This window comes from Homo sapiens, chromosome Y (assembly GCF_000001405.40).
Source record: "Homo sapiens chromosome Y, GRCh38.p14 Primary Assembly".
NCBI classification, from domain to species: domain Eukaryota; kingdom Metazoa; phylum Chordata; class Mammalia; order Primates; family Hominidae; genus Homo; species Homo sapiens.
The window spans coordinates 24,483,866-24,496,454 of NC_000024.10; the positions used below are offsets into that span (position 1 = coordinate 24,483,866).

General features: G+C 39.5%; 1 long non-coding RNA gene and 1 pseudogene across 1 annotated transcript; one reads left to right on the forward strand and one right to left on the reverse strand.

Moving 5' to 3' along the window:
* Positions 1 to 1,466: 1,466 nt before the first annotated feature.
* TTTY17B (testis expressed transcript, Y-linked 17B) lies at positions 1,467 to 2,598 on the forward strand. Its single transcript, NR_002180.1, has 2 exons — positions 1,467 to 1,526; positions 2,493 to 2,598. It is a non-coding gene; the product is annotated as a testis expressed transcript, Y-linked 17B (long non-coding RNA).
* Positions 10,863 to 11,727, reverse strand: TRIM60P5Y (tripartite motif containing 60 pseudogene 5, Y-linked; annotated as a pseudogene).

The window sequence follows — 12,589 nt, forward strand, 5'->3', positions numbered from 1 at the left end:
TTGATTCTTCTCTCTTTTCTTCTTTATTAGTCTTGCTAGTGGTCTATCAGTTTTGTTGATCTTTTCAGAAAACCAGCTCCTGGAATCATTGGTTTTTTGAAAGGCTTTTTATGTCTCTATCTCCTTCAATTCTGCTCTGACCTTAGTTATTTCTTGCCTTCTGCTAGTTTTTGAATGTGTTTGCTCTTGCTTCTCTAGTTCTTTTAATTGTGATGTTAGGGTGTCAATTTTAGATCTTTCCTGCTTTCTCTTGTGGGCATATAGTGCTATAAATATCCATCTACACACTGCTTTAAATGTGTCCCAGAGATTCTGGTATGTTGTGTGTTTGTTCTCATTAGTCTCAAGGTACAACTTTATTTCTGACTTCATTTCGTTAGGTACCCAGTAGTCATTCAGGAGCAGGTTGTTCAGTTTCCATGTAATTGAGAGGTTTTGAGTGAGTTTCTTAATCCTGAGTTCTAGTTTGATTGCACTGTGGTCTGAGAGACATTTTGTTATAATTTCTGTTTTTTTACATTTGCTGAGGTGTGCTTTACTTCCAACTATATGGTTGATTTTGGAATGGTTGGGGTGTGGTTCTGAGAAGAACGTATATTCTGTTGATTTGGGGTGGAGAGTTCTGTAGACATCTATTAGGTCCGCCTGGTGCAGAGCTGAATTCAATTCCTACAATAATAACAGGAGACTTTAACACCCCACTGTCAACATTAGGCAGATCAATGAGACAGAAAGTTAACAAGGATACCTTCAATTTCTTTAATGATTTTATGGAATTGCTATTTTACATTCTCCTGTCTTTATCTCTACATGTTCAATTAGAAAATCCTCAGTGAATACTTTTCAGTATGATAGAGAAAATATTGTGCAATTAATTACTGATAGATACACAGTGAAGTAATTTCTGGTTTTCATTTGGTGCTCTCACACTGAGGATAGAAAAGTCTTGGTTGTAATCTTACATGATGAGGAGTTCTACTATGCTGTTTTCTTTTGCTCTGTGATCTACTGTCACAGTTGTTTGAACTTGCCACTGAAAAAAGTGGGAAATTGTTTCCCTCATGTCTACTCATCTCCCTTTCATAGGTTTTCTGGTGGTGCATTGTCTAGATGGCTTAGTAGCTCATGATCACAGAGGTCATATTTGACAAGAGAAAGCTTTGTTGCTCCAGGACTAAGTGAAGGTGTTTACCACCTAGTGCCTAAGGTTTCTCCAGAGCCACGATGGAGCTTAAAAACCATTACTGAAACCAGAAAGTGATGGCAGACATTGAGGGCTGCCCAGAGTAGAAAGCAAAATGCTCCCTTTTGCTTTACAAGTGGTCACTGCTTATTTGGTCATTAATGTTGCTTCTGACCATGACGTGTTTCTTGTTCATCTTTCTTGGTATTCCACTGAAGGTGCATCTAAGGAAACGAGCCCTGTGTGATAGTGGTAAAGAGAACAACTGCATCCTTCTGTAGCTGATGCCTTGTTGAGCTTTGAAGCACATTGAGAAGAATCTGAAATCCTTCCTCATTATGGGGTAAGTTGTGTCAAATTTGACTCCCATGTAAATGGCAGCAGGTTCACGATGTCAAAGAAGAAACTCAGAATCAGTAAATAGGATATGGAGTTTTACTGGCGACTTACATAGAGGAGAGAAAGTCCAGTGTCAGTGGGCTTAGCAGGATAACCACGTCCACTTGGAAAAAGCATGCAGTGTGCATAGCATATTTATTAAGCACATTTTTTCTGAACAATCTTTTATCTGTTGTCCTTCATTTAACAAAAAATAAGGGCCTCAGTCCCCTGTGTGGCCTACTCCATACCACAGCATGGGAGAGAGCAAAGGCTCAGACTTTCCTCATAGATAAAGAGTAATCTCCAGGTTGGCCACTACTAGATTTTTTTTTTTTTTTTTTTTGAAATGAAGTTTCACTCTTGTTGCCCAGGCTGGAGGGTGTTTGCACAATCTCAGCTCACCGAAACCTCCGCCTCACAGGTTCAAGTGATTCCTCTGCCTCAGCCTTCTGAGTAGCTAGGATGACAAGCATTTGCCATGATACCTGGCTAATTTTGTATTTTTAGTAGAGACCAGGATTCTTCATGTTGATAAGGTGGTTCTTGAACTCCTGACCTCAGATGATCCATCTGATTTGGCCTCCCAAACTGCTGGGAGTACAGGCCTGACCCACTGCAGCTGGCCAGGCCACTAGTAGATTTTTAGCTTGAAACTCTGAACACTCAGAAACATTTTTTATATAAGATCAGTCTTCAGGTATGTGCAAGACAAGTTACCACTGTCAGTTGCATCCATCATACAGGCTGGTCCAGGCAGTGGAGGTTCTTCTTCCTGAGAATCTAGATTCAAACTTTTTTTTTCCTTTTTCTTGAATCCTTGGATTAACAGGAGTTTATCTAAAAAGCCTGATGTGTGTGCACATTGCTGGTATGGTTTTCTAAGTAAATGAGATGGCTTCTTACTTGGTAGGGTTTGTTCCTGTTACAGGTGTGTTCAGGCTGCTGAGGTGCCCATTCTCAAGATTTTCACTGGACATTCTGGGGTCCCAGTTCAAGTATTTTCCAATGTGAGTCAAGGTGAACCAGAGCCTGAAATTTTGGTTCAGTGTGGCCAGGCTGAGGCTGCCCTTTTAAAGGGAGAAATGTCAGGTTTGTGTCTTATTTTCCTTGTCATTTTAACATATCTTTTGGAATGGAGACCAGAAAAGAATCTGGATATTTGACAGCCCTCCTCCTAGATCTGGTACTATCTATACATGACTCTTAAGTGTCAACGTAGTTTGAGAGATCTCTCTTCCTGGAATAGCCTGAGTAGCCTAAAGAACAATGATCCTTGATGCTTGGCTCATGTGGTCTTCAGAGGAATTTCAAAAACCATAGAATTTGGAGGGTAGAGAAAGAGCTGTTACAAGTGATATGTTGCAGATGAAATAACTGGAGGCACGAAGTAAATGGGACCTGCTTGGAATGGTACACACACTGCCTGAGTGCAGTTGAACAGTCAAGCCAGTTCTCTGATTTGGGCCTACACTCACAATGAAGAGGAATATTTTTCCTCAAGGGAAGCCCAGGGGTTCTGAGGATTATGGGTGCCAGTGAAGAAAAAATGTGATGCCTCAGCCTAGTGCTTTTGCTGCTCCTGGCTTGTGACTTTGGGGATTCAATTTTCTCATTAGAGACATGGGCAATGGAAGTCACTCAGTGACTGGCTGCTCACCCAAGTTTTACCAGGCCACTACCCAGTGCGCACCCTGGAGTTCCAGGTACAGCTTGTGGTTCAAAAGGCTGGGGGATCTCTTGGGTGAGTTGAGGGCTTTGAGGGGGTTCTCCCACTCAGGGACCACTCATACCTACCCTTGTGTGCCCATCTGACAGCTCAGCATGTCTGCTGTATGCCACCCTTACTTTCTGCTCTGGCCAAGCCCATGTCTCCCCGGATTGGCTAGGGGCACTTGCTCACTAAGTCCCAGGTGACCTGTCCGTCCTTCCTCCAATGCACATCTTCAGGCAGGTGTCACCCAAATTTCCTCCTAGAGTGTGATCTCTGTGGGTTAGAGCAGCACATTCTGCTACAGCTTATTGACGAGTTACTAAATCACTGAATTTTCCAAGAAGAATGTGATCCTTGACACTCTTGATCTCCTTCTAGGGGGGCTGCACTTGTGGTTGCCATCCTGATTTCTTTGTGGAAATACCTAGTGGGTGAGGAAGGACTCAAGGACCGGGAACATGACAGAGCACCTAGGCTGACCTACCACGTGGCCCTCTGAGATCACTGCTGGCAGGAGTGTTTCATGGAGCTCCAGGCCCCTATTCTAAGATGCTTGCCCATAGCCCCTTCCGTGACTTCCAGGAAAGGTCTACTCTTTTAGCAAGCTGCACCCACTGGTCTCTAGGAGACAAGTATTCATTTACCTTTGTGTAAGTCACCTTCTGCTTCATTTCTATTAAATGTTCTCCTGGAAAAAAATGCCTAAGGAATGCTGGGTCTGTGCTGGAGCTTCTCTAAGTGCCAAAATCAGTAAGACGGTCTCAAAGATATAATTAATAGCACTTTCTACACAATATCTCAGGTTACTTTTGACCAATAATGTGTAAAACTAATACTATCCTTTCATTCTTCATATTACTTTATTTAGGTCATCATACAAACATTTCATTTTCTTGAAATTTTTTATGCCAATTATTGTATTTTCTCTACTTTGTTCTAATTGCTACCATTTTAGATGCAAAATTTTAGTAATATAATATGCTGCATAAAGGCTAATAGGTGATCACAACTTATTTAAACTGTAATTAGATTTCTTAAGTAAATAATTTCAGAAAACTGAGTTTATATTATTTGTATGAATTATTTTACATCTTATCCTCTATCTTAAGAAAATTTTAGCTGCATATGCAATTCAAAATTGGCAGATTTTTTAAATAGGCAACTTTAAAACATTTCATTGAATATGTTTGGTAATACAATTCTAAAATATTTTATTTTAGAAACCAACACACTTGACAGTTGATATTCATATTATCTATGAAAGTAACATTATGAACATGCTTTTATAGTTTCCCAAAAGAAGAAAAAAGTCTATTCTGGTCTTCAGTAGTAAAACTTAAAGATTATGGAAATGAGATTAAATTTATTCACTAAAATACTTACAAAAACTGAGATTCATTAACTTGTTCTTTATTATTTACTATATGATAATGAACAGATTATAAGATGTTCAGAATTTGCTTCATTATAGAAATAAAGCCAAACATCTCTTTGAAAGAATCATTACAATTAAACAGAAGAAACCTATCATTTATATTATTTTAAAAATCACTGGAGGAGCCAAGATGGCCGAATAGGAACAGCTCCGGTCTACAGCTCCCAGGGTGAGTGAAGCAGAAGATGGTGATTTCTGCATTTCCATCTGAGGTACCCAGTTCATCTCACTAGGGAGTGCCAGACAGTGGGCGCAGGTCAGTGGGTGCGCGCACCATGTGCAAGCCGAAGCAGGGCCAGGCATTGCCTCACTTGGGAAGTACAAGGGGTCAGGGAGTTCTCTTTCTGAGTCAAAGAAAGGGGTGATGGACGCACCTGAAAACTCGGGTTACTCCCACCAGAATACTGCTCTTTTCTGACCGGCTTAAGAAACGGCACACCACGAGATTATATCCCACACCTGGCTCAGAGGGTCCTATGCCCACGGAGTCTTGCTGATTGCTAGCACAGCAGTCTGAGATCAAACTGCAAGGTGGCAGCGAGGCTGGAGGAGGGGCGCCCGACATTGCCCAGGCTTGCTTAGGTAAACAAAGCAGCAGGGAAGCTCGAACTGGGTGGAGCCCACCACAGCTCAAGGAGGCCTGCCTGCCTCTGTAGGCTCCACCTCTAGGGGCAGGGCACAGACAAACAAAAAGACAGCAGTAACCTCTGCAGACTTAAATGTCCCTGTCTGACAGCTTTGAAGAGAGCAGTGGTTCTCCCAGCAAGCAGCTGGAGATCTGAGAAGGGGCAGACTGCCTCCTCAAGTGGGTCCCTGACCCCTGACCCCCGAGCAGCCTAACTGGGAGGCACCCCCCAGCAGGGGCACACTGACACCTCACACGGCAGGGTATTCCAACAGAACTGCAGCTGAGGGTCCTGTCTGTTAGAAGGAAAACTAACAAACAGAAAGGACATCCACACCAAAAACCCATCTGTACATCACCATCATCAAAGACCAAAAGTAGATAAAACCACAAAGATGGGGAAAAAACAGAACAGAAAAACTGGAAACTCTAAAAAGCAGAGCGCCTCTCCTCCTCCAAAGGAACGCAGTTCCTCACCAGCAACGGAACAAAGCTGGATGGAGAATGACTTTGACGAGCTGAGAGAAGAAGGCTTCAGACGATCAAATTAATCTGAGCTACAGGAGGACATTCAAACCAAAGGCAAAGAAGTTGAAAACTTGAAAAAAAATTAGGAGAATGTATAACTAGAATAACCAATACAGAGAAGTGCTTAAAGGAGCTGATGGAGCTGAAAACCAAGGCTCAAGAACTACATGAAGAATGCAGAAGCCTCAGGAGCCGGTGCGATCAACTGAAAGAAAGGGTATCAGCGATGGAAGATGAAATGACTGAAATGAAGTGAGAAGGGAAGTTTAGAGAAAAAAGAATAAAAAGAAATGAACAAAGCCTCCAAGAAATATGCGACTATATGAAAAGACCAAATCTATGTCTGATTGGTGTACCTGAAAGTGACAGGGAGAATGGAACCAAGCTGGAAAACACTCTGCAGGATATTATCCAGGAGAACTTCCCCAATCTAGCAAGGCAGGCCAATGTTCAGATTCAGGAAATACAGAGAACACCACAAAGATACTCCTCAAGAAGAGCAAGACACATAATTGTCAGATTCACCAAAGTTGAAACAAAGGAAAAAATGTTAAGGGCAGCCAGAGAGAAAGGTCGGGTTACCCTCAAAGGGAAGCCCATCAGACCAAGAGTGGATCTCTCGGCAGAAACCCTACAAGCCAGAAGATAGTGAGGGCCAATATTCAACATTCTTAAAGAAAAGAATTTACAAACCAGAATTTCATATCCAGCCAAACTAAGCTTCATAAGCGAAGGAGAAATAAAATACTTTACAGACAAGCAAATGCTGAAAGATTTTGTCACCACTAGACCTGCCCTAAAAGAGCTCCTGAAGGAAGCGCTAAACATTCAAAGGAACAACAAGAACCAGCCACTGGAAAATCATGTCAAAATGTAAAGACCATCAAGACTAGGAAGAAACTGTATCGACTAACGAGCAAAATAACCAGCTAACATCATAATGACAGGATCAAATTCACACATAACAATATTAACTTTAAAAGTAAATGGACTAAATGTTCCAATTAAAAGACACAGACTGGCAAATTGGATAAAGAGTCAACACCCATCAGTGTGCTGTATTCAGGAAACCCATCTCACGTGCAGAGACACACATAGGCTCAAAATAAAAGGATGGAGGAAGATCTACCAAGCAAATGGAAAACAAAAAAAGGCAGGGGTTGCAATCCTAGTCTCTGATAAAACAGACGTTAAACCAACAAAGACCAAAAGAGACAAAGAAGGCCACTACATAATGGTAAAGGGATCAATTCAACAAGAAGAGCTAACTATCTTAAATATATATGCACCCAATACAGGAGCACCAAGATTCATAAAGCAAGTCCTGAGTGACCTACAAAGAGACTTAGACTCCCACACAATAATAATGGGAGACTTTAACACCCCACTGTCAACATTAGACAGATCAAAGAGACAGAAGGTTAACAAGGATACCCAGGAATTGAACTCAGCTCTGCACCAAGCGGACCTAATAGACATCTGCAGAACTCTGCACCCCAAATCAACAGAATATACATTTTTTTTCAGCACCAAACCACACTTATTCCAAAATTGACCACATACTTGGAAGTAAAGCTCTCCTCAGCAAATGTAAAAGAACAGAAATTATAACAAACTATGTCTCAGACCACAGTGCAATCAAACTAGAACTCAGGATTAAGAATCGCACTCAAAACCACTCAACTACATGGAAACTGAACAACCTGCTCCTGAAGGACTACTGGGTACATAACGAAATGAAGGCAGAAATAAAGATGTTCTTTGAAACCAACGAGAACAAAGACACAACATACCAGAATCTCTGGGACGCATTCAAAGCAGTGTGTAGAGGGAAATTTATAGCACTAAATGCCCACAAGAGAAAGCAGGAAAGATCCAAAATTGACACCCTAACATCACAATTAAAAGAACTAGAAAAGCAAGAGCAAACACATTCAAAAGCTAGCAGAAGGCAATAAATAACAAAAATCAGAGCAGAACTGAAGGAAATAGAGACACAAAAAACCCTTCAAAAAATTAATGAATCCAGGAGCTGGTTTTTTGAAAGGATCAACAAAATGATAGACCGCTAGCAAGACTAATAAAGAAAAAAAGAGAGAAGAATCAAATAGATGCAATAAAAAATGATAAAGGGGATATCACCACCGATCCCACAGAAATACAAACTACCATCAGAGAATACTAAAAACACCTCTATGCAAATAAACTAGAAAATCTAGAAGAAATGGATAAATTCCTGGACACATACACTCTCCCAAGACTAAACCAGGAAGAAGTTGAATCTCTGAATAGACCAATAACAGGATCTGAAATTGTGGCAATAATCAATAGCTTACCAACCAAAAAGAGTCCAGGACCAGATGGAATCACAGCCAAATTCTACCAGAGGTACAAGGAGGAACTGGTACCATTCCTTCTGAAACTATTCCAATTAATAGAAAAAGAGGGAATCCTCCCTAACTCTTTTCCCGAGGCCAGCGTCATTCCGATACCAAAGCCAGGCAGAGACACAACAAAAAAAGAGAATTTTAGACCAATACCCTAGATGAACACTGATGCAAAAATCCTCAATAAAATAATGGCAAAACGAATCCAGCAACACATCAAAAAGCTTATTCACCATGATCAACTGGGCTTCATTCCTGAGATGCAAGGCTGGTTGAATATATGCAAATCAATAAATGTAATCCAGCATATAAACAGAGCCAAAGACAAAAACCACACGATTCTCTCAATAGATGCAGTAAAAGCCCTTGACAAAATTCAACAACCCTTCTGCTAAAAACTCTCAATAAATTAGGTATTGATGGGACGTATTTCAAAATAATAAGAGCTATCTATGACAAACCCACAGCCAATATCATACTGAATGGGCAAAAACTGGAAGCATTCCCTTTGAAAACTGGCACAAGACAGGGATGCCCTCTCTCACCACTCCTATTCAACATAGTGTTGGAAGTTCTGGCCAGGGCAATTAGGCAGGAGAAGGAAATAAAATGTATTCAATTAGGAGAAGAGGAAGTCAAATTGTCCCTGTTTGCAGACGACATGATTGTATATCTAGAAAACCCCATCGTCTCAGCTCAAAATCTCCTTAAGCTGATAAGCAACTTTAGCAAAGTCTCAGGATACAAAATCGATGTACAAAATACACAAGCATTCTTATACACCAACAACAAACAAACGGAGAGCCAAATCATGAGTGAACTCTCATTCACAATTGCTTCAAAGAGAATAAAAAACCTAGGAATCCAACTTACAAGGGATGTGAATGACCTCTTCAAGGAGAACTACAAACCACTGCTCAAGGAAATAAAAGAGGATACAAACAAATGGAAGAACATTCCATGCTCATGGATAGGAAGAATTAATATCGTGTAAATGGCCATACTGCCCAAGGTCAGTTACAGATTCAATGCCATCCCCATCAAGCTACCAATGCCTTTCTTCACAGAATTGGAAAAAAAAACTTTAAAGTTCATATGGATCCAAAAAAGAGCCCACATTGCCAAGTCAATCCTAAACCAAAAGAACAAAGCTGGAGGCGTCACACTACCTGACTTCAAACTATACTACAAGTCTACAGTAACCAAAACAGCATGGTACTGTTACCAAAACAGAGATATAGATCAATGGAACAGAACAGAGCCCTCAGAAATAACGCCGCATATCTACAACTATCTGATCTTTGACAAACCTGAGAAAAACAAGCAATGGGGAAAGGATTCCCTATTTAATAAATGGTGCTGGGAAAACTGGTAGCCATATGTAGAAAGCTGAAACTGGATCCCTTCCTTACACCTTATACAAAAATCAATTCAAGATGGATTAAAGACTTAAACGTTAGGCCTAAAACCATAAAAACCCTAGAAGAAAACCTAGGCTTTACCCTTCAGGACATAGGCATAGGCAAGGACTTCATGTCTAAAACACCAAAAGCAATGGCAACAAAAGACAAAATTGACAAACGGGATCTAATTTAACTAAAGAGCTTCTGCACAGCAAAAGAAACTACTGTCAGAGTGAACAGGCAACCTACAAAATGGGAGAAAATTTTCACAACCTACTCATCTGACAAAGGGCTAATATCCAGAATCTACAATGAGCTAAAACAAATTTACAAGAAAAGAACAAACAACCCCATCAAAAAGTGGGTGAAGGACATGAACAGACACTTCTCAAAAGAAAACATTTATGCAGCCAAAAAACACATGAAAAAATGCTCATCATCACTGGCCATCAGAGAAATGCAAATTAAAACCACAATGAGATATCATCTCACACCAGTTAGAATGGCAATCATTAAAAAGTCAGGAAACAACAGGTGCTGGAGAGGATGTGGAGAAACAGGAACACTTTTACACTGTTGGCGGGACTGTAAACTAGTTCAACCATTGTAGAAGTCAGTGTGGCGATTCCTCAGGGATCTAGAACTGGAAATAGCATTTGACCCAGCCATCCCATTACTGGGTATATACCCAAAGGACTATAAATCATTCTGCTATAAAGACACATGCACACGTATGTTTATTGCAGCATTATTCACAATAGCAAAGACTTGGAACCAACCCAAATGTCCAACAATGATAGACTGGATTAAGAAAATGTGGCACATATACACCATGGAATACTATGCAGCCATTAAAAATGATGAGTTCATGTCCTTTGTAGGGACATGGGTGAAATTGGAAATCATCGTTCTCAGTAAACTATCTCAAGAACAAAAAACCAAACACCGCATATTCTCACTCATAGGTGGGAATTGAACAATGAGATCACATGGACACAGGAAGGGGAATATCACAGTCTGGGGACTGTGGTGGGGTGGGGGGAGGGGGGAGGGATAGCATTGGGAGATATACCTAATGCTAGATGACGAGTTAGTGGGTGCAGTGCACCAGCATGGCATATGTATACATATGTAACTAACCTGCACAATGTGCACATGGACCCTAAAACTTAAAGTATAATAAAAAAAAATCACCAATTTATATTAAAAAAAAAAAAACTTACTGGATTTTACTTCTGGCAGAAGCAGGTTTTCTTAGTACCTGGTGCAATGAAACCAGCCTTCATATGTCACATAATTGCCCAAAATTTACCCTGAACAGAAGGCTGATTCTGCCAGTTTCTAAGAAGAGCTATGATTCTAAGAGGCCAGGACAGCAGGGCAGAAATAAAATATCCTTTGTTTATAACAAATGTTTGGTATTATTATTCCATATCACACAGTTTTTCTATCCTCAGAGAAATTAAGTTGAGGATAGGATGTGTCAAGATCTAGAATCAAGGCTTGGCGTGGTGGCTGACACGTGTAATCCCAGCAGTTTGGGAGGCTGAGATGGGCAAATCAGAAGGTCAGGAGATCAACCATTTTGTCTAACAATGGTGAAACCCCGTCTCTACTAAAAACACAAAAAAATTAGCCAGGCATGGCAGTGGGCACATGTAGTCCCATCTACTTAGGAGGCTGATGCAGAAGAATCAATTTAACCCAGGAGGTGGAGGTTGTAGTGCACTGAGATCACACCACTGTACTCCAGTGTGGGTGGCAGAGCAAGACTCCATTAAAAAAAAAAATCCAGAATCAAATGTAAAAAAAATGGCCTAGTAATTTTGTCTAAGACACAATATAGAGTTGGGAGATTAAAATCATATTTTGCTAATCTAAAGGGAAAGGGTTTCGGGAATTTTAGGTTTTGATACCTGTGGTGCACAGTATTGACATGTATTAGCCATTCCAGGTTTGATTAAATAGACATGCCCTCTACCTCACTCAGTAGATGTTTAAAGGTAGAAATGCAATTTAAAAATTTTACAAGATTTTAACTTAGTTTTTATAGTATGTCCAACTCTATAATTTGTTTCAATTGTGAGAGTCAACTGTGCAGCAGTGGTACAATTTTGTTCACTTCATATGCAGAATTCATGTCATACTATAGACATTTTTATTTTCATCTGAGTCTACTGGCTAATTTCAAGAAGAATATTTATTTCTAATTATGTAGCTTCTATTATATAGCTAGTATTATCTTGTTTACTTCATGTATATGCCAAAAGGACCTCATGACTTAATAAATGTTCAACTATTAATTTGAATAAATTGGCCTAATAAGTTTAATAAACTCAATTATATCAAGTTCATAATGTAAAATGAACAATAAATAAAAATTGGATTAAATAGCATTCTCAAATTGAAATAAAATAAAAAATGTACTAAATAAATAGCATACAATAATACACACACCATGAAATTACATGTAAAAATTATTTTGTGAAGATCATTAAATTTTATCAAAGTCACATTCATCATCTCTGAGAAAATTATACAAGGAATGCTTTATGAAATTAGACTAAAATAAATGTATATATTATGTCTATAGTGAGCAACAAGCAAACAGACAAAAAAAGGAGAATGTGCACAAGATGTTTCTAAGACAAGAGCAATAACATTTTTGGTAAACGGGATTAATACAAGGCAGAGAAAATAGATTTGCTTTCAAAATCTTTGAAGTTTCCGGTTTGCTGGTAAGTTATCAAGACATGTAAAATTATGTGTTTTATTCTAATATTTTTCTTTGCTTCTCAAAGTAGGTACACAATCACAAACAAATATGAGTATTCTCTATAAAGCTGTTACATACAAAGTTTATTTTACAGTGATTTGTCTGTATATTTACATCCATTTAAATAAAAAATAAAGGTATGAATATGTTTAGCAGACCA